General features: G+C 31.4%; 1 protein-coding gene across 5 annotated transcripts in view; it reads right to left on the bottom strand.

Moving 5' to 3' along the window:
- Positions 1–22,748, bottom strand: part of ASCC3 (activating signal cointegrator 1 complex subunit 3) — a 373,136-nt gene that overhangs the window by 139,494 nt on the left and 210,894 nt on the right. For all 5 annotated transcript variants that reach the window (NM_006828.4, XM_011535394.4, XM_047418108.1 and 2 more), the window contains 6 exons: positions 14,658–14,849; positions 14,119–14,343; positions 8,012–8,131; positions 5,038–5,202; positions 3,873–3,959; positions 2,851–3,027 (listed from right to left, as the gene is read on the bottom strand). In NM_006828.4, the coding sequence (NP_006819.2) occupies positions 2,851–3,027; positions 3,873–3,959; positions 5,038–5,202; positions 8,012–8,131; positions 14,119–14,343; positions 14,658–14,849 (966 nt within the window). The remainder of the gene's footprint in view (positions 1–2,850; positions 3,028–3,872; positions 3,960–5,037; positions 5,203–8,011; positions 8,132–14,118; positions 14,344–14,657; positions 14,850–22,748) is intronic.

Consider the following 22,748-nt stretch of genomic DNA (forward strand, 5'->3'; position numbering starts at 1 on the left):
AAGTTCTTAGAAAGCTCTACCTTCTAAACAGGAATGAAGTAGGAAGAGACAAAAGGCATGCAAAATATTTAGGAGGCTGTTAAGGCATCTGACTATAAGAGACAAGGACGCCTCTTGGTGAATAGTGGAATGATTAAATTTACAAGGCTATTTAGAGGATTAAGGAAGACTGGGATCCTGATAGGGAAAAAAAATAATGAGAGAAGGGTGACAAATGAAATACTGATTAGTGTAGCTACTCATATGAAAGGGCCATACAAATGGCTTCCTATAAACCAAACAATGTGTTAACTTGCTTTACATATATTGCCTCATTTAACTTTTACAAAAATTGCATTTAATTGATATTAATATTATGATTTTATAGATGAATATACTAGGGCTTAAAGAGGTAAAAAATTTGACCAAGGTCACACTGCTAGTTGGTGTCAGAGCATCTACTCAAAGCCAGGACTAAAGGACTCCAAATATAACTGAGATTCTAGACTCAGTGGTCTGAGGATAACTTTATTAATAGACATATAGAAAGTTATAATGAATGTAGTCTTTTTCTTCACATTTCTACAGCTAGCTCCCATTTATTTTGCCTCCACTCCTCTATCATTAACTTTGCAGATTGTTTTATTAAAGATTGTTTTTTAAATGAACTTATACCTTCCAAAATCCAGTAACATCTGTATTTGAAAATAAAGAATGTTCAGTCTGGTTAAAATCCAAACAAGAGATACAAAACTGAAAAGATTTCAAATGGCAGACAAACAATCCAGCCTAAAATTATGAAGTCAAAAATGACAGATGAGTTAAAGGCTTTCATTTCACATTTTATATAAGATATGCGCTGTCTTTTGATAAATTTGACTATTTTGTTTCAGTATTAGAAATTAAAGTACAAAATGGTAGATAGAAGTATGAGGACAGTTCTGATATCCATTAAAAATGACTGAATGGGTCTTTATAAGGCCCAGAGAATAATAAATAAAATTTTGATTACTGTATCTACCAAATAGGTTTTCCTACCTCATTCCCACTTGTTCTTACAAAAAACTATCAGGCTAATTTTCCTGCCTTTGAAAGTATGTCATTTTAATATTTCAGGATCTACAGTTATCCCCTCAATGCTAAAAGAAGTAGGAGAAATTCCATATGACAAGATACAAACAGGACATGTTAATCTAGAATGATATAAATTGGTTCAAAATAATAAGTCTATAACATGTACAGTCTAGAAAAGTTAAGCATAGGCCTTTAAATAAAATCCTAGAATATTTGAGCTATAGGTTTACCTTAGGGGCTGAGGAGAGAAAGTTTAAAAAATATAGAAGAAAATATCATTTTACAGAGTTGAGAGAGTAGTTGTTCAATTACTGATAGCTTAAACTTAAAATGTAATAAAGTATAATTTATCTGATGCATTCAGGGATGCTAAATCCATAATGGCTGTTTAAGAAAAAACAGGGATGCTTTGAGATATCCTTAATCAGAAGTTGACTTCCTGGATACCAATCATGAAGAGAATTAAAGTTTTACATTGTAAGCAATTCTTATGTCAGTCTCTGATAATATCTTCATAATCTTGAAGCAAGCAGAAATGTTGCCAGATTATTCATCCAGAACCCAGTAAAACTTTACCTTTTATTTAAATGATTAACTATTTCAATATAAAATCATTAGAAAATATAAAATGACAATATTACATTACTTTACAGAAAAACAGATAAAACAAAGGAGATTAGAAAATTATTCCTATAGAAGCTATAGGGTTTAAAGAATATATAAATATTTTCACTACATCTATATTAACTTTATATAATTTATGAATTATATAACCTGGTATCTTGGTTACATTGATTAAATTACTACATGCATTCAAAATGTTTACCAATATGTCTTGGTTTGTGTTTGTAAATATTCCATGTTTAAAGGACTCCTGAGTACTCATGGCTATTAATAATGATATATTTAACACAAACATTCTTTTTCTATATTTAGTCTTTCTTTGAACAAAATTACAAATATAACAGCAGAATCATTTCCATATTTAAAATAAAATTAAGCTTTAATTTCTTCTTAATTTATAAAAGGAAGTACTCAATAAAATAAAATTAAAAAGCCTTGACAGGTAAATAATTTTTTTAAAAAAGTATGTCTAGAAGGGAAATCTTTCATTTGAAGGATAAATAGGGTAAAATATAACCTACTTTACTTCACATAAGGGCTTGAATATAAAAACACAAATATTTGAACAGTTTATACCATGGTATTTTTTAAAAGTTATAAATTAAATGAGCTGTAGTTTAGGGAATAATTTTCTTTCTGTCCTCAATGTTTAAGTTTCAACAGTAGAGAGGAGAGATTACTTTTGTAAAAACCAGAGACATCACACTGAACGTATGGTAGGAAATATGTTTACTACGCCTTGTTTAATGATTAAAAATATTATTATTTCTAATATTTGGTAAAAATCTAAAAAAGTTCCACAATCTTTTCTTTATGCTTGCAATATTCTTTAACTTTTCTCTTTATAAGTACTTTATATTCTTTTACTTTATAAGTAAAAGAAATGAAATTCATCATTTAAAGTAGAAAAAAATCAGGTATCATTTTAAAACTTTGTAAGAAACATCAACATCACCAAAAAAAGCCCTATCAGTCACCAAATCTCATCCCCAGTCCTGTTTTATGAGCATAGATTACATAAAATATTTACAAATTAGCAGAAACAGTTCTAAGTAAAATGGTGGTTTGGTAGCATGTCACAAAGCAATGCATTCATAGCACAGCATGAATTAACACCTTGGTCCTCTAAATATATTCAAGGAAGAGAAAACTGGAAGGGAATAAGATACTTACCTGTGCAACATATGCAGAATCTGATATAAGGGAGAAACTGTCCATTTCTCCTCGGCTGATATAAGTTTGAAGTAAGATGTTTATTTTCCCATAACTATTCTCTACACCTCCAGGAGTGGAGAGTTCACAAAAATTGCTTAATAAGGTATCTAACTCCTCTATTTCCTCTTCTCTGACCTAGAAGAATCAATGTATTTATTGGAATTTTGGGGCTGATTTATTTAAATTTTTCACATTGAAATTAAATACATTGCATGTTTTTAAAGAGTTTCCATTTACTATAATGCAGCATTTTTCTTTCATAGAGTTAAATAACAATGATTTTTCCATAGGTAGCTAAAAAACTGCAATATGAAATGATCTTGAGGCTGATACAATTACATTTTATTATTCATCACCAATATTAAATTTGCCATTGACATATAAAAATTTGATATGCCAAAAAATTAAATCTTCTGACCTCACCATCCTTGAATTGATGAGATTTCATATTTTATTTGACCAGAGTAAAACCTCTGCCCAACTGGATTAGGGCAACTTGAATTATCTTCAAATGCATTCATTATAGTCATATATTTTTATATGGTATAATACATTCATAGCTTAAAGCCATGAAGTACTATGATTCAAAGTATTAAAGTTTTCACTGTTAATAAGATTAAATATTAATACAGGTACAGAAATACTCATATCTAAGGTTTGAATCATACAGGTACTTTTACATTTTCTTCAATGAGCCTTATATTGCAATAAACCAAAATCTTCATACTACATTCTTCAACAGTTTCATTACTGCAAAACCAATTTAAATTATTTGATGTGGAGTACAGAGAAAAGAATGATGTCAGGTATGATGTAATATTATAATCTAGGACAGTGGGTCTTATTGTTAAATGAAGAACATTGCTGATATTCCAAATGTGATGTGCCATACAGCTTATATGGTATTAATGAGAACCTTTTATAAATGAATGAATGCATACATGTTGTATGCATTTGATTCAAATTTCAAGAAATCTTACCTTAATTTGATCAAATTCTTCAGCTTTGGAGACTATGGCAAAGATATCACCTTCTGTTTTGTGAGCATCAAAGAGTTCATTAAAGGTCTACCAAAGTAAGTGTTATATTTGATTAAAATAAAAATATTTTAAATATTTTAAATTAAAAATGTGACTATAAATTACACATTTTAAAAGAAATTTGAGCCCTAGACAGTGCAGTTATAATGTCTGTGTTACAGTATTTAAAGTCACTGCTTTATAAACATCAACAAATTTATCAAAGACCAAAGAAAATTCCTAGAACATAATTAGCTAAGGAAGATCTTTAGCAGCAAAAAGATGGATGGTGAATAAAAGTTAATAACATCTACACTAGATACCTTTAAAAAGTTAATAAAATTCTGGTTTGTGCTTATTTTCAGCATGGCCATGTGGAAATCTGCACAATTCACGAATTCTAAGCTGATCATGTATCATAAAATTCAGAGATGTATATCTAGAAAATATGTAGTCTGAAAATTCTCAAAATATTACTAGTGAGGACATACAGAAAATTAGAAAACTGAGTTGAAAAAAATCAGTCAAAGGCCACATAGATTGAAGACAAATGCTAAAGAATGCCTAAAGTTCCTGCAAAAGAACAGCAAACAGGTTTAGGATATAGAGTGGTAGCAACACACTAGCAAGTGAACAAATTTAAAAAGTTACTTTGACAAAATGAGTGGATGTGAATAGGTGATGGAAGGAGTGAAAAGCCAGAGACAACGTGTTGGATTGATTTCAACCGGATCATAGTTCTGAGATAATATATGTTTAAAGGTTTTGAAGAAACCTAAAGTGCTATACAAATAGAAGGTTTATTTGGGGAAAGACGGGGGAAAGTTAGTAAGCACATGAGGTGTTTTCTGAAAACCGTTACATGTAAAAGCAAATGTGCCTTGACTATTTAGGCTTGGGTGTGTTTATTGCTTGGGATACACTCATTGAATAGGATGACAAGAGGTTCCTTAGTATCTGAAGTTTTATTTTTTTCTTGTCTTTACTGAGGGTATACTGTTGAATTCATATAAGTTAAATGGATTTTGTTCTATTATTTGCTTTCATTATTTTACATTAATAATATATTTTGAAGTCTAGAAAGTATTTGCATCTAAAATCAAACATATTTGCATTAGTATAATACCTCAATGGTGTTGTATTTAATATAGTAATGGCTGGCAGTTCTACCCAAATCAGTTGAGGAAAAATATCCAGTTCGCTCCTCAAAACGAATCATCTGAGCTTTGTCTAGTTTTCGTCCAACTTCAATGACCAACTGTTCTCGATGCTTTCTTAATGTTGGGTCAATCTATGGCAAAAAATATATAAACAGTTGAATAGTGCTTTAGAGAGTAACCATTTGCAAACATATATTTATTTATGGAAATTAAAACTTTTCTTAATGTTTTAGTTAGACTTTTTAATTACAATTTTTAAAGTACATTTTTCTACATTTAGGAAATAATTGAAAATATTTTATGCCATTAAATAAAGGAAGCTTAAAAATTCATTAAAATTATCAATGTGCATATTCTTTTCAGATACCAATATTTTGGAATCTAAAATTCTTATATGATCTTATGATCTTTAAAATCACAAAGATTAAAAATCAAATTTTAAAAACTCAATAATTGTCTTCTTTCTCCCATACTAAAGTAAATAGGGATTTTAAATTGTCAAATCATATTCCTACTTTATTATCAGTTATTTGGAGAAATGATAGCAAGAATGCTTTCCCTGTCAAAATCAAGATATATTTAGAACTGCAAAGTTATCCGGCCGGGCACAGTGGCTCACACCTGTAATCCCAGCACTTTGGGAGGCCAAGGTGGGCGGCTCACGAGGTCAGAAGTTTCAGAGCAGCCTGACAAACAAGGAGAAACCCCATCTCTACTAAAAATACAAAAATTAGCTGGGTATGGTGGTGCGCGCCTGTAATCCCAGCTACTCAGGCGGCTGAGGCAGGAGAATCACTTGAACCCAGGAGACAGAGGTTGCAGTGAGCCAAGATCATGCCACTGCACTCCAACCTGGGCGACAGAGCGAGGCTGGAGTGCAGTGGCGTGATCTTGGCTCACTTTACTTACTTTTTACTTTTATTATTATTATATGCAGATGGGAGAACCCATTCTAAAGTAAATAAAGTTGACAGTGAATTTTTGTATAGTTTTAAAACTATTACTTATCTAATACTTTTTCTAAGCAGAAATAATAAAACATAAGATATTAACAAATATTCTTGTTACTATAGTATTGTGTATAAATATATGTATGTACACATGCCAATTATTAAGGAACACTCTGTAGTCATGAGGAGTAAAGTGAAATATGACCTTTAATGGAGTAGGGGGAGTATTAAAACAATTTAGAAATCAATTAATGAGTTAACACTACTACCATTTGTTCTAACTTAGATATTTATGGCAGCTTATTTATGTACAAAATATAGCTAAAATAAATTTTAAAAATCAGGAAAATGGAGCAAAAGAATATCAACTGCAGGGAAGTAAGATGGAGTCAAGAGTTACATCAGCAAATACAAAAAGTCTTAAATGTTTGCTATGAGTGATAATATATGTATCAGGTTCAACTTATAAAACTATTTTATTAATCACCTATTACTAAACCATCAAAAATATGCTAAACTGTTTTATCTGTGTTAGTTCATAAGAGTTTTGTGGCCACAAATTTGTATTGAGTAATAACATTAAAACACACAAATCAAAAAAAAAAAAAAGGGTCAAGATTTTCTGACGTATAAAGGTACTATGTATCCAAAAGGTCTTTATACTGGAAAATGAAAGGCAAATGACTTTTGATTATAACCTAGTACTTTAAAGTCAATTGATGTATTTATCTTGTTCCAAAATTTGAGATGGCTTAGTCCGTAAAAATAAATTGTTTAGTTTTTGTTTTTCTTTACTCCTTCAAAACATTTTCATAGTGCCACTGGGTCTTCTCAAAATGCCCATATTTGTGATGGGAATAACTAGTGCCATATTCTTTAAATGTGTAAGGTTACAGGTTATAATGCAGTTATATGTTATAACAGAGCAATTTGGCTGTAAATGTAAACATTCATTTAAAGATTAGCACAAATTTCAACTGAGACAAAGAAAGGTAGGTGAGTCCCATCTAGAGTAAATCTAAGTATAAAAACCTAATAACGGCTTTAGATTTAACAGCCTCAGAACTAATTGCTGCTGCTGCTTTTCTTATTTTTCCTCCCGCAAGCCTTAAGTTTCAATTTTCCCATGGTAAAATCTACTGCATAGGGAAAGAAAAAAATAAAAGAAATAAAAATTTAAAAATTGGTAACTGCTTTGATAACACAATAGGATTCATATAAAAACTAAGTCATAGTAAATTAGGGGAAACTATAATTTTGAATAAAGTTCAACTTATACAAATTTTGACTTAATACTAGTTAATATCCATATGATCATTGTAGAATAATGTTTTCATTAGACAACAACTGGATTTTATCTGCAATTAGGACACATTTACAATATATGAAGCAGAGTTATAAAGGAAAGACAAGATTTCACAGAATCTATAAGCCACACGGACCACACAATTGTGAAGTTCATAGGAAGAACTGCTATCAAATGCATCTAATTCTCAGTCTATGTATATGGACTTGAATAGTGGAACTGATTCCAGTCCTCAAACTGTTAAGATAGTAACTCCTTAATGGTATATTTAAATTTCAGAATAGGGATTAGAAGAGACTTGATAAGAGGAACAGATTGTATATAACCTAAGCTGATTATCAAATATGGTCTATAAGTTTCCTCATGTCTAATTTATTCTAAAACGAAATTTCTCACAGTTTAAAAAATCACACCAAAATATTAATATCAAATAGAAATATACCTGAATACATGGATAATAGTACAAAGATTAACATAAGTATTTGTAGAAAAAGATATTTAAATATAGCCTGCCTAATAACTACAGGGGCCTATCTAATTTTTTGAAAAATATTAAATCTCTTGTTTTTCTTCTAGGTACCTCTTTTCAGATGAGGCAAGAGCAGCAAACAAATATCTATCCTCATATCATGAAAGAACCAAAAAGAAGGTCTGAATTTTTTTTTTAATAAATGAGTTTTCTACCTGATAAGCCTTGTGACTGATGCCATATGCTAATGGATTTGCTCTCATCCGTACATAAAGATAAGTGTAACTTATCCACTTCACTGCTTCTTCCACATTAGTAACTGTTCCCAGAGCAATCTGCAAATCAAAAAGATGACAGAAATTAATGTATTAAAGTTGAACATAAACATTACATCAAAGTCCATTCTGTCAGAGGTGAAGTTTTAAAAATACATCATTATGCAGTATTTTTAAAAAGGTAGGCATAGTGACTGGACACAACACTTTGCCAATTAATTAAAATCAGTCCTGCCTCATTTAATTGAGAATGATACATGAGAAATGTTATCTTTCAGAACTGAACTTACTCAATATTATGGCAGACAATTATTTTTCTTTATAAGGAGTTTAATTCTACATAGCATTAAGGACATTTGTTATTTTTTTTTCTTATTCAGTATACAACTTATTTTAGTTTCATTTTATGTGACTACACTGCTGAAAAATGTAAGTGTTAAGTGCATCTGAATAAAAACAACAAAACATTGTTAATTCTATTCATTTTTATCCTAATTCTGTATACTGTCATCACCAAAACCACAGAGGGGATAACATTAGCTTTTACCTCCCAAGACACGAATTTGCAGGACTGCGAGTGTGAAGATGTAATATGAATACAATAAAAAATTCACTGTTTTGCACGAAACAAAGCAGATTTTGTTGTGATTTATACATATTAATAATACATACATTTTAACAAACTCATGTACAAGAACAGGGAGTGGTTTTTATTTATCAGTAAACTTAACCTATGGAAAAAATATTCATGCATTTGAACCATAATAAACAGTGGATAATTCTTCAGATTGTATCTTGAAAGAAAATATTTTTAAATATAGCATTTAATGTAGCTTTGTGATATATTAATTAAATGAAATCAAAGGTTAATAATTTAAAAACACAACAATAGCATATAAGAGCTGTATAACAAAGAGAAAAAATTATTAGAAGATGATATTAACAAAGAATTTCAATGAAAAGTTTCTTAGAAACATATTTCCTTAGCCAATGGTTCTATAGGTAGTAATTTTATTTTTACTTAAGGTACTTATTTTACTTTAAAAATTTACCCACGTTGTAAAACTTCATAGTTGTATTTTTTTTTCCTGAATCCTTAACTGAAATTGTTTTTAACCTCCTAAAACTTTAATTAAAGGAGAAGAGATGTTCCCTACCTAAATTATTAATTTTAGGAGAAAAAAAAGGAAAAACAAACCCTCTCGATTTAGTCCTAATATTAAAGAAAGTAAAACCTTCATGTTTAACTCCTTCATTATAATTTTAATTATAATTCTGTATAACTAATTTCATGAAATAAATATGTGGATGGTTAATTGTCTTTAGTTAGTTGAAGATGAGATTTAGTAATCTATAATTTTCATTATAATGTATAATTTTCATTATAGTATTATGATATACTATTTGTTACTAAAACAGAGAAATGACCAAAAGTTGAAATATAATATGGGAGATTCTGTCTACTAACTTTTAAATTTATATTACAAACGGCTAAGCCATCCATAATGTAGGTAAATATATATACTCAGTGTAAACTGTAAGCCTTTCCACCAAAATAAGAGTAGCAAGAACTAAAATTGAGCCAGTGTGGGAGCTGTGTAACAATTCATGAAGATTTACAACTAAAACAGTTAAACATTTTCTAGTCTACTTAGGTAAATGAAACTAGTTTGGTGATATAGCTAAAAATCTGAGAGTGTCTCTCCTTTGTGAATCCATTATTTGACAGACCAAATTGTATTAAACCATAGACATATGACCTATATTCCCATCATGACTTTATGATGTTACTTTAAAATAATGACCTACATTCCCTTATAACCTTAGAATATTATTTTAAAGTAACATCACACAACTCCTATGAGTAGAAAAATTTATAAGGGATAAAATAAGCTTGCTATTATTTTCAAAATCAGATAGTAAATTAACATTAAAAAATTACCTATTGCTACCAGTGATATGATTAAAGAAAGGAAAAAGTAGGTAGCAAAGATTCGATCAACTAAAGCAAGTGTTGTAAATGTTCACTAAAAAGGACAAGACTACTCAGAAAAATGAAGGTAAATTTATGATGCTATACCTTATTTTGAGAGTAATATTTGAATGCCACCTAGTGACAAAAAATAAAAATGTATTTGTAAATATTTGCTGTCACCTAGTGGCTACTTAGTACAGGAACCTTTTATAAAACAGGAATTTTTTCATAGTGTGTCTTTGAAATTTATTCCCTCATCTCAAAATCATATAGTAAGTCAGTAACAAGCCTGTGCTGAGTAAAGCACAATGGATATGGTAACAAATAGAGTATGCTCCCTGGCCTCAAGAAGTTCCAGAGTCACATGGAGGTGAGACATATGTAACTAACTACAATGACATATATAAACCCACCATCCATTGTGCCTAGCACATAATACCTATTCAAAATGCTTTTAAAGAAAAACATCTAACATGACATTTCTAAAAGTGGCATTAGTATATAGTGTGATAGTTTTATGCTCTGTTAAATAAAAGAGAAAAATAAAATCCCCCACGAATTTGGTAATTTAGAAATAAGACTCAATATCACTTCATATCTAACTTTAGTATTTAAGGTTATCTCAATTGTTTATTTGAATATGTATTTTTAAAAAATTGTTGAAATTATATAAAAACTTAAGCAAATACTCTAATCATCATGAGTATGCATGCGTGTGTATATATGTATATATAAGCTAGTAAATATATATAAAAACTATGCTACTATTCATTTATTTATTTAACTAAAATTTCAGTGCTGGCAATAAGTATGAATGGGGCTGAATATCAACAGACTATCAGAAAATGGTAAGTGACTCTATCATTTACTGTAAACTACCTTGGCACAGGCATTTCTTAAATTTCCACAACAATCCAGTGACAGTATCTCTATTTACAAGTGAATAGAATAACAACAGCTTGTCTAGGGCAGAAGATCTGTGTTGGAGAGTAATTGTAGCCAGAATTACAAGGTCGTTCAGATTGTAGAGGCCTTAAATCCAAGGACAAGGTGTTTACCTGACATTCTACAGAGATGAGATGAACTCCGTATAAAAAATGTATGTAGTATGTAAAGTGAAAGAAAGATTAATATAGTTTTGAAGAACAGACTATAGGGAGCTGGCACAGAGTATGTACTCAGTAATGTCTGATGAATAAATTTTAATAAGCCTCAGTATTTCTCTGTGTAAAGTTAAGTGACTTTATATATGGATGGGACTTGTGACCTTTCAGCATTAGGATTATTTAGTCAGTCTCATTATGCATCGATAAGCAAATGTGCCTCATAACATGTTTGCATTGAAATTATAACTTAATATAATAATTTCTCCAGTTCTCCTAAACTAATAGTCAGAATTGATACTCATGATATCAAAGATATTAATAGAGGCAACATTCTTAATCTAGCACGACTCTAATGTTGATTAGTGCAACTGTACAGTCTTGCAATGATTTGGGGAATTTAAAGACTTAAAAATTCATTACCTAAAGAACACAGCACATATTCATTTTATAAACCAATTTCACACTTGATTTCCACAGATAGCCAAATTTAATTTCACATTCAACAATAATTTAAGAGTTTGTTTCCTTAACAGGAAAATTTATTTTAATAGGGAACTATTCCAATAGATTAGAATATGAGCAAGTTAGTTCAACAATGGCTATACTTCACCATATGGGTGAAAAATGTCAGGATATATGTTTTATTATTTAAATACCATTTACATCACTAAATGGAATTATGCTTATAGCTAGCTGACATTCCTGAAAATCACACATTTAATAAGTACTTTATAAATATTTGATAAATTTATGGGCCCTAATTTATTTTTAATTTCTCAGGGCTTGATCAAATAGTTTTAGTGATGCTATTTTACAGTCCCTAAGAAAAAGAGTTACTTGAAGAAAAAAGCAGTATTTTACTGACTTTGTGTCTTCTGTATAATATTGCCAACTTGTGTTTATTTTACCAATTACAAAAAGCTATTAAGGACATAAGTTTACTGAGATATAGTTTTCCTTGACATGCATTCATGCGTTTTAAGATATCACTTCATATTTAACTTTAGCATTTAAGTCTGTTCTTCAAAACTACGTTAATCTTTCTTTCACCTTACATACTACATACATTTTTTATACAGAGTTCATCCCATCTCTGTAGAATGTTATGCAAACACCTTGTCCTTGGATTTAAGGCCTCTACATTTGAAATATAGTCTTCCTTGACATGCATTTCATGACGTGCATGAAAGAACCATGCCTTTTACTGTAAGTCAGAAAAATTATGGCTACCATTTTGGAAAATGTTTTTAATAGAGGCCTGAGAAGAGGGCAAATGCTATATATTAATATAGGGAAATGTATTCACCTTTAACTTACTACATTTTATATAAAAGAAATCTAAGCTATAATGAAAAGTCTAGGTTTAGAGTTAAATAGATCTGAGTTTGAATACTAGTTTCAAAAATTATAATGTAGTGACCTTGGGTCAGTTACATATCACTCTCTGGATAATATCTCCATAGCAGCAGTATTGAGAGAATAAGATAATGTACGTGAAGCACTGAGCAGAGTCTCTGGTATACAGCAGGTCCTCAGTTCACTGCCACTATCATTTTATATTAAGAGACTTTGTTCTGTACATTAGACACTGTTAACCCAACACGTAGTTATTTAAGCCACACAATTACAGTAGCCAGTAAGACTGAAATTGAGCTATCATAATATTTCCTTTGGATTCAAATTTTATTTCTCAGTTTTCAAAAATGTTCTTGTAATTTTGCTAATAGAAAATGAGGCCTTTCATGCTTTTCTCTCTAACCGTTATCTTCTAAAACTTATCCATTCTTTGAATGACTGTCCCAATTCTGGCAGTGAATACTCTCCAACACAGATCTTCTGCACTAGACAAGCTGTTACTCTAACTCACTTCACCTAAAAGTCCCAATTTTCTCATAAAATAAAGATACTCTCACTGGATCAAATTTTACCACATTCATGAACCAAGACTTTCCTGATAGCCTGGGAGAAACCTATTTTCTCCTTCTGCTGAATCCTTCTACAGAACTGTCTTTCCAACATTATTGCACTGTGTTTTCATGTCTTTTTCTCCCCTTTTGGAATATACACTTCTTAATAGAGAAAATGAAATAGTAAGTGTGTTTTTCATTCTCTAAAAAGACTTATCAATAATATGAATGGAATGTTAAATGAAATTTGTATAAGCTCTTTAAGAAGTACCTAATATAGGACTTTGTACAAAATAAGTAGTATTTGATTACAAATATTTCAAAGTATTCATTTACTTAATATTTATATCCTACCTACTTTCAAGTATTGTTTGAGTCAACTTTAAAGGTATGAAAGAATACTGAACTAGCAAAGTGTTGAATACCAAAGCAATAATTTAAAATGTCACAAAAACAGTCAAACCTGATTTTAATGTTCTATACATATACTCTAAATTTTAAGAATGTTTATTTTCTTTACCAGTTAAGATGTTACCTAGGCTTCCAGGGTCTGCTATGTAAATCTTAACACAAAAGTCACACACACACACACACACACACACACACACACACAAAACAAATGATCATAATCTAGCTCAATCACATTGTGTATAACAAAGTTAATCAACTGACCTAATAGAGCTAAAAGAGTTTTATAAATTTCATTAAACCTTTAGTAAAAATTTCATTTAAAACTTTGCAAAAGTGCCATACAAATATTAATTATTATTGCTATTTCTGTTTCCATATTTTCTATAGTCTTTGTTAGATTTCTGGTCTCTAGGAAAGCCTCATAGTTTAAAAGTATGGTCTTTTAACAATAGATTTTTATCAGTTATCATTCTATAATCCTCTGAATTAATCAACAATAATGCCATTCACCCTGTTTTGTCTTATAACTTATATGGCATAGGCTGTAATCCTAAACACTACAAAACAGCAACCAACTCAATCTTCATCTTTCTTGGTCATTCTTAAGGCTGATGATTCTATTCCAAACTTTTACTCATTAGATCTTACCTCTGCATTTAGGTTATCTGCAAGGCTTTCCAGAAACTGACTCTCAATTGGGTTTCGTTGAGTGAGCAAAGTGAGGTAATGGCTGAGTTTATCATGCGTTGTTATAATTATTCCTTCCCCAAATTTGTCAAATTGTGGTCGTCCAGCTCGACCAAATATCTGCATGACATCTAAAATTCCAAGGTCAACAAAGGAGCCTCTTTTTGCAGCATATATTTGTGTTCCCTAGATGAGGAAAAGTTAACAAAAATTTACATAAACACACACAAATATAATCCTGATGAACTGAATACTGAAATTAGGCAAATATGGCAAGATCTCAAAAGTGTACTTTAACTAATCCTTTCATCATCTGTGATAGAGTAAAATTTTCACAATATAAACTAGATTCTTATTGGAGAAAATAATTCTGACCTTTTATAAATAACATTCAAAGTCAAGGAAACAGCCAAATCACAATATTTTTCTATGTAAGTCAACCCAGAGCCTTGCTTTAAGACACACACAAAATCCATTTATCAAGGAAGGTAAGCTCTTACCTTAATAATAACAGCATGGGCGGGAAGATTGACACCCCAGGCTAACGTAGCTGTACACACTAGGACTTTGATATGCCCATTAGAAAACAAGTTTTCAACTAAATTTCTGTCCTGCCGAAGCATTCCTGCATGATGAATACTAAAACCATCTGGGAATAATTCTCGTACTTGCTTATTTCTCGACCTTTGTACCTAGATACCAAGAAAGCGTAAGAGTATTATTTAGCATTTAAAAGCAATTGTTTTTAGCATTTCTGTTGTATGAGTTCATCAAAGAAATCAGAAAATTATTTTTAAGCATCTTAAGGTATTACTAGGTCTTAGTATATAATGCTTTATATAAAATCATAAAAAATAATGTTACCTATCTTAAAAAATAGGTAATACCAAAATATATCACAAAATTCAAAAGGAAAGAGGTGAAAAGCAAGTGTCTCTTTCATCCAGATGTCCCTTTTTGCAATCAATCAGTATTACCTGTTTCTTAGCCTTCAAAATATACACTATTCAAAATAAAACTAAATCTCAGTGGCTTCTCAACTCCTTAAGAGTAAAGGCCAGAGTCATTACAATGCAAGACTATGGAAATCAATCTCATCCCCTTACCTCATCCACACTAGCCACAATGGCTGGCTTTTCTGAGTATATTTTCCAACAAGTCCATATCTGCTTCAGAGCCTTTACACTTTTACTTCAGACCCACTGCCTTTGAGGACTTCTCCCTTCTTATTGAGATCCCCATGATGCTTCCCCTATGATATTCCTCATTGCGATAAGTCAATAAACCCAGCTTTGTTCACCTACAGCTGTGTTCTTGGTGATCTTTGATAGCAAAGCATTGACCATCTGTTTTAGCTCCTCAACTATAGATGTGCATTGAGTATAGAGGAGTCCTTCCTTATCTGTAGTTTTGCTTTCTGTGGTTTCCATTACCTGAGGTCAACTGTGGTCCAAAAATATTAAGTAGAATATTCCAGAAATAAACAAATCATGTTTTAAGTTACATGCTCTTCTGAGTAGCATGATGAAATCTCACACTGTCCTATTCCATCCAGCCCAGAAAATGAATCGTCCCTTTGTCCAGCATATATAAGCTGTAGACATTTCTCACCCATTAGTCACTTAGTAGTAGGCTTGGTTATCAGATTGACTGTTTAAGTATCACAGTGTTTGCAAGTCACCCTTATTTTACTTAATAATGGCCCTGAAGCACAACATTAGTGATGCTGGCAACTTGAATTTGCCAGAGAGAAGCCATAAAGTGTTTCCTTTATGTGAAAAGGTGAAAGTTTTCAACTTAAGGGAATAAAAACGAAATTGTATGCTGAGGTTGCTAAAATCGATGGTAAGAGCAACAAATCTTCTAGTTGTGAAATTACAAAGAAGAAAACAGAAATTTGTGTTAGTTTTGCTGTTGCACCTCAAATTGCAAGTTACAGCTACAGTGTGATACATAGTTAAGATGAAAAAGGCTTTAAATTTGTGGGTGGAAGACACGAAAACAAAAACGCACTTAATTGACACCAATCAAGTTAGTTCACTAGTATCTGTGGTTTCATATCTTGGAAATATACCCCATGGATAAGGGGGGACTACTGTAATAATGTTACTTCTGGTTCTGTTCTTTGGCCTAATCTGAGCCCAGAGGTGAGATTTAGTATACTTATATGTCACCTGTGTAAGTGCTGTAGCAGAAGGTCTTAAAAGACTCACTGAAGATTCACTATACAATAGGCAGAATTTTTAAGAAAAATTAAAGACCTTAGATTAACATTTAAAGAAATGTTTATATAGTTAAAGCTTCTGTTTGGCCATCACATCATGTGTTTATTTGCTATTGGTCTCAAAATCTCATTATCAATTCATGAGCTTCTTTTTGAACAGTTTTTTCCCTACACTTTTTACTTAAGGGCTGGATAATGGCAGGGAGTAAGATTTCAGGGGACTGGGGTTCCATTCTAGACTTTGCCATACTGATTATCTCTCAGGTCACTTAAAATTTTAAACTTCTAAGTTAATAATATTTAACTAATAAAATTATCTAAGAAAATAGTATTCCATGAAATCTGCTTCAATTATAAAACCAAAAGTAATGCATTAACAAACCACACCATCTAGTGGCCAACCAAGTAAATAACAACTTACACATTTTGAGCCTCTTAAGGGTCCAAAACAAAATACATATATAAACATAACAAAAGAGGAGAGCTTCTTAAAGTTTCAAGGGGGGTGTATTCTTACTTTATTCTTATGCAGTGCAGTCAGCCTGTTAGAAATTATTTTATACATATACTTTAGGACTAATTACACTTGGATCTCATTGCCTCAGCTTTCATCTTTTCAGACAAGCAATATTGTTACTGTAATCTTAAAGCAGCTCTTATGAATATGGAAAAAAGTCCAATTGTGGTGTATTTGCTAAGAGCTCCTTCAGAGGCTAAAGGTAGGGAGAGGAGAAACATTTCACTTACTTCATTTCTTTTCTAATATTCAAGAGTGGATATTCAAAGCCAACAGAGGAAACTAAAACTATTGGTTGAAGGTGATATTCAAATCATATTGCTGGATTGCTGTTTGGTTTTAGGTTAAGTCTGCTTTCTGTGGGCTCCCTGCATTGAAATGTTCTGCTGTCCTTCTTACAAATAGATTCCTTAGTCAAACCCCATTTGAGGGAAGACATGGCTAGGACTGCTGTGGCACCAATGACACAGTAAGAAGTTAAACAAGGGAAGTATGTATCTGTGATAGAGATGTTTCTTATAAAGTAGCAGGTGGATCTTGGAGTACTGACATAGTACCTCCCACTTGATCACATGGGTTTCACATTCAACCAGCATCAGTGGCCAGTTTCACATTCAACCAGCGTCAGTGGCCACCAACTTGGTATATCTCTCTGGTCTCTGTGAGGAACTAGGAGGAGGTAGGAGTCACTTCTATTTCTATTCTTGCATACTCTGTGCATTTTTTTTATTGGTTCATTACAGACTTGAAGTGACAACAATCAAAGTAAGTCTGGGTTTTTTATTCTTAACTATCTTTGAATCTGAATTTTCCATCTGTGGTCTGCCTTAGCTCACAACAAAAATGAACTGGAATCTGGCCGGGCACAGTGGGTCATGCCTGTAATCCTAGCACTTTGGAAGGGTGAGGCAGGCAGATCACGAGGTCAGGAGATGAAGACCATCCTGGCTAACATGGTGAAACTCCGTCTCTACTAACAAAAACAAACAAACAAACAAAAAAAAAATAGCCGGGCATGGTGGCATGTGCCTGTAGTCCCAGTTACTCGGGAGGCTGAGGCAAGAGAATCACTTGAACCCAGGAGGTGGAGGCTGCAGTGAGCCGAGATCACATCACTGAACTCCAGCCTGGGCGACAGAGTGAGACTCTGTCTCAAAAAACAAAAAAAAAAGAAGAAAAAAAAATGAACTGGAATCCCTGGAGATGAGGCCCAGGGATGTTCCTCATGTGATTTTAAAAATCATCATAAAGCAAAACTATTTTTCCACTTTTAGTGTACACATCTAAGAATTTTAAGACATATTTGTGTTAGATTTGTGTAGCTACCATCATAATCAAGAGGAGTTTCTCCACCTTAAAAAAACCCCCTCATGCTATTTCTTTATAGTTAAACTCTTCGCAACTACTACCACTGTACTAATCTGTACTCCAACCCTATAGTTTTGTCTCTCCAAGACCACTATATAAATTGAGTCAGAAAGCTTATAAACTTTTGAAATTAGTTTCTGTCACCCAGATTAATGGCTTTGAGATTCATCTAAGTTGTTGCATATATCAATATCTCATTCCTTTTTATTGCTGAGTAGTATTCCACGGTACTACAGATGGGCACATTACAGTCTGTTAATCGGACCTCTCACTGAAGGACATGGGGGTTGTTTCCAGTTTTCACAATTATAAACAGAACATTTATAAACATTCATGTACACTTTTTTGTATATATTAATATGATTTCATTCCTCCAAAGTAAATACCAGGCATGAATCTTACGGGTCACATGGTTAATGTATGTTTACTTTTATAAAAATGCCAAAGCATTTCTGGAGAATTTTAACATTTTGCATTTGCATCAGCATTGTATAACAGTTCCAGTTGCTTCCCATACTTGCCAGCTTCCCATACATTATATAATTATTATTTTTTATTTTAGCAATTGTAACAGGTGTGTGGTAGTATCTTACCATGGTTTTAACATAAGTTTCCTTAACAGTTAATGATGTTAAACATCTTCCATGTTCTTGGATGTGCATATCTAATCAGCTCCTCAAGTGATTCTACTGCACACAAAAGTATAAGGAGCGAGTTTTTTACAGAAGGATATTTGCAATGATGTTTTTATCCACCTGTGTTATAATACAGCTGTACAATTTGACCTCATGAGACTATTTAGTGCTAAGCAACCTCGTATTTGTTATTGTACTAAATTATTTACATTCCTAAGAAGAGTACCTCCTAACAAATTTATGAAACATGATAGTCACTAACAGACAAAAAAAAAGCACTGTAAAGAATCAAAGAGAAGATCAATAAGAAACATGTATTTATCATATATTAGATCCTAGGAATTCAAAGAAATTTAAGACAAAATCTGAGCTTTGGATAATTTGCAGACTGGTAAGGAAGACAGACTCATATACAAGTGATTTCTATTAAATATAATGTGTTTATGATAGAGGTACAGGGACCAAGATGAAACTTTGTTATTTATGACATGATATTGTCATTTATGACAAAATTATGTCTTATTTACATTTGTATCGCTAACATTTGGCAGGGTGCCTTCTTCATACTGATACTACACATTCCCTGAATGAATGAATCAGTGATCTGATAGTTTGATCAAAGAAGTCTTTACAGAAAATGTGAAACGTGAGTCTTGAAGGACAAGGGATAAACTGCTAAATGGGGAAAGGTAGGCAGCAGGATATATAAGTACCTAAGCTGGGAATTATTAAAGAGCACACACAGTGTGTTTGGAGGGCATTCTGTTCAGAGGGTGTGGGGCAAAAATTAAGAAAATTAAGCTAGAAAAAAGGATTGGGGTCAGGCTTTACATTGTCTTGAACATAGGTGGAAAAGGAGCCAATTCAAGTTTTTAAGCAGTATCAGATTTGTTCTTTAGAGAGGTAACTTCACAGTTGTGCTAAGACCAGAGCAGGTATCGGCCACTACAGCAATCTGCAGAAGATGGAGGCAGGGGAAACAGAAATAACCAAACAAAGTCAAGGTTAAAGTTGGCTAGAAAGTAACCAAGACTGGATGACTGTCTAGAAAGGGGGATGAACATGACATAAAAGAAAAGGAGTTAGAATTGTTTCAAGCTAATCCTTATCTTGGTGCACTGAATATACGATAAGGTAAACAGAATGAGGAGAGTCAATGATTGCCTTTAACTTAGGTACTAAGAAGGTCAGGAGTAAATTATGTTTTGCGCATGAGTTTGAAGTGATCCATGGATAAAGACTTGGGCTTTTCTTCTAAATAAATGGAAAGCCACTGAAGATTTCTGAGAAGGAGAGAAATAAGGGAGACCAGTTAGGTAATCATTGGTAGAACCAATGATTTAAAGATTGTGAAATTGAGAAAAAAAATTAACACTCTTACCTTAAAAGAAAAAAATCAAACAAAAATAGACAGTGGCCATTACTGACTAGAGAAGGAGCTGGCAAAATATGTGCCAACTACCTGTTTTTGTACATAAAACTTATTGGAAAACAGCCATATCAATTTGTTACAGATTGTCTAAGGCTGCTTGAGCTACAACAGGAGGGCTGAATGAATAGTTGTGGGAGAGATCATATGTCTACAAGCTTAAAATGTTTACTACCTGGTCTTTAAGTAAAATAATCTGTATAGCTGTACACAAGTACAACAGCACAAGCACAAGACCCAATATCAGCAAAACGAAAATATCACAATTTGAAAGAATATGAAAGAAATATACTACAGTTTAAAAGAATCAGAAAAGAGCACTTTGTAAAATTCAGTGCATTTCACTTAAACTGTTTGGAATGGATGATTTTCTAGGAAAATATTGTTACTAATATTTAACCTAGAAGTGACAGAAAACTCTAAAATGATAAAAATAATGAAAGAAAATTTAAGAGTTAAATTTAACAGCTGGGCTTTCAAATTTTTAAAGATGAATTAATTCTAATGCTATTAAGAGACTCTAGAGGACAGAAACAGAACACTTAAACTGATTCTACAAGCGAATATAATGGCACTGATATTAAAACCTGACAAAGCAGAAAAGTGAATACAATAACAATATCTCTCTTACAAATATTACTCTAAATAGTAAAGAACTTTAGAAAACAGAATTCATCAATGCATTAAAACAAAATGCCACAACTAAGTACTCTTCAACCCCAGAATGCAAGGGCATTGTACTTAATATGTTAACATATTTAATAATTCAAAAAAGAAAGAACATTATGATCATGTGCAGACATTGAATTTTGACAAAAGGCTACATTCAGTCCTGATGATTAGAGATGACAATATACATCTGAAACTATGCTTAATAGTAAACATACAGAGTATACTAATTAAAATTAGGGAGTAGGCAAGGTTGTTTGGTATCAGTCTATTGATGTTCTAGACAATACTAGACATGAGAAAAAACGAATATAAATACTGAAAAGGTATAATTATAAATTAATTATTTGTTGTAGATAAAGTGTTTATTTAGAAAACTGAGTACTGACTAAAATATACTAAATAAAATAAAAGAATTTGGAAAGATGATAGTCTCAAAAATTTAATATTTTTATAAAAGTATTTCTTTTATGAAAACATTTTTCTTTTCCTTAATATTATGTAAAATATTTTTTATATTACATATTTTCTAAAAATGTAAAGAAATATATTTTTCTTTTCTTTCATTTTAATATAAAGTATTAATCTTTACTATAAAAATATATTTTATAAAAGTTTTATAAAAAGACATATATACACTATATATATATACACAGACAATAACTCATAAAATAAGTGGAAAAAATCACTTTTATAACAGCAAAAACAGAAATAATAAGAGATAGCCAGGATCCATATAAAGTTTTATAATATTGCTGAAGAACATTCAAGAAATAATAGATTTAATTTTGAGACAGGAAAACTTGATTTGGCAAAAATACCATTTCTCATTAACTTAATGTGTAAAATCAATGCACTAACTTAACTAAAATATGAACATGATTTCCTGGAGGGAATACTAAAATTCATCCTGAAAAGTAAGACTGAAAATTTATCCAGGAGAAATTCTACAACTGAAGAATAATCAGGATGTTTAATCCAATCAGTTATTGAGAATTCTATGAAAACAAAATAAGTAAAACAGTTTGATAAAAAAGAAGAAACAATAAGATCAATGACACAGAAGAGAAATTTCAGAAATGACTCAAGTAAATAAGAGAATATTGTATATTAAATTTTTTAATCAACAGAAAAAACAGTATTTAGAAAAAGATGATGTGCCCACCACTATCTGAAATAAGTTTCAGAAACATCAAGTATTTAATAATAAAAATAAAATATAAGGCTTGAAGAAATCACAGATGAAGTAGGTGTATGGCTTTTATATGCAACACATAAAACCCAGAAACCATAAATAAATTTACGGAATTTCTACATGGTAAAAAAAATCATAAACAAAAATAAACATCAAGGATTAAACAGAAAAAGTTTATGTAACCTATATGTACTAAACATGCAGTTTAGTACACAACGGGCCAAGATTATGAACAATTTAAAGAATAGGAAATACAAATAGCCAATGTAAAAAATGCTCAGTTTCACTCATAATTAAAGAAATGCCAATCAAAATAATAATGAAGTACCATTTTTTGCCTGTTAATCTGTTATAAACTTAAAAACGTTAACACTACCCAGTGCTGGCAAAGTTATGTGGGGGTAAAGCACAGTCTTCCCATGGTATCCATGGGGGATTGATTCAACAAACACCTTCTCTTCCCCTGTAGACACCACAAACCATGGATGCTTAAGTCCCTTATATAAAATGGTGTGATATTTGCATATAATTTACACTGTCTGCCTGTATACTTT

The sequence above is a fragment of the Homo sapiens genome, chromosome 6, assembly GCF_000001405.40.
Source record: "Homo sapiens chromosome 6, GRCh38.p14 Primary Assembly".
NCBI lineage: Eukaryota > Metazoa > Chordata > Mammalia > Primates > Hominidae > Homo > Homo sapiens.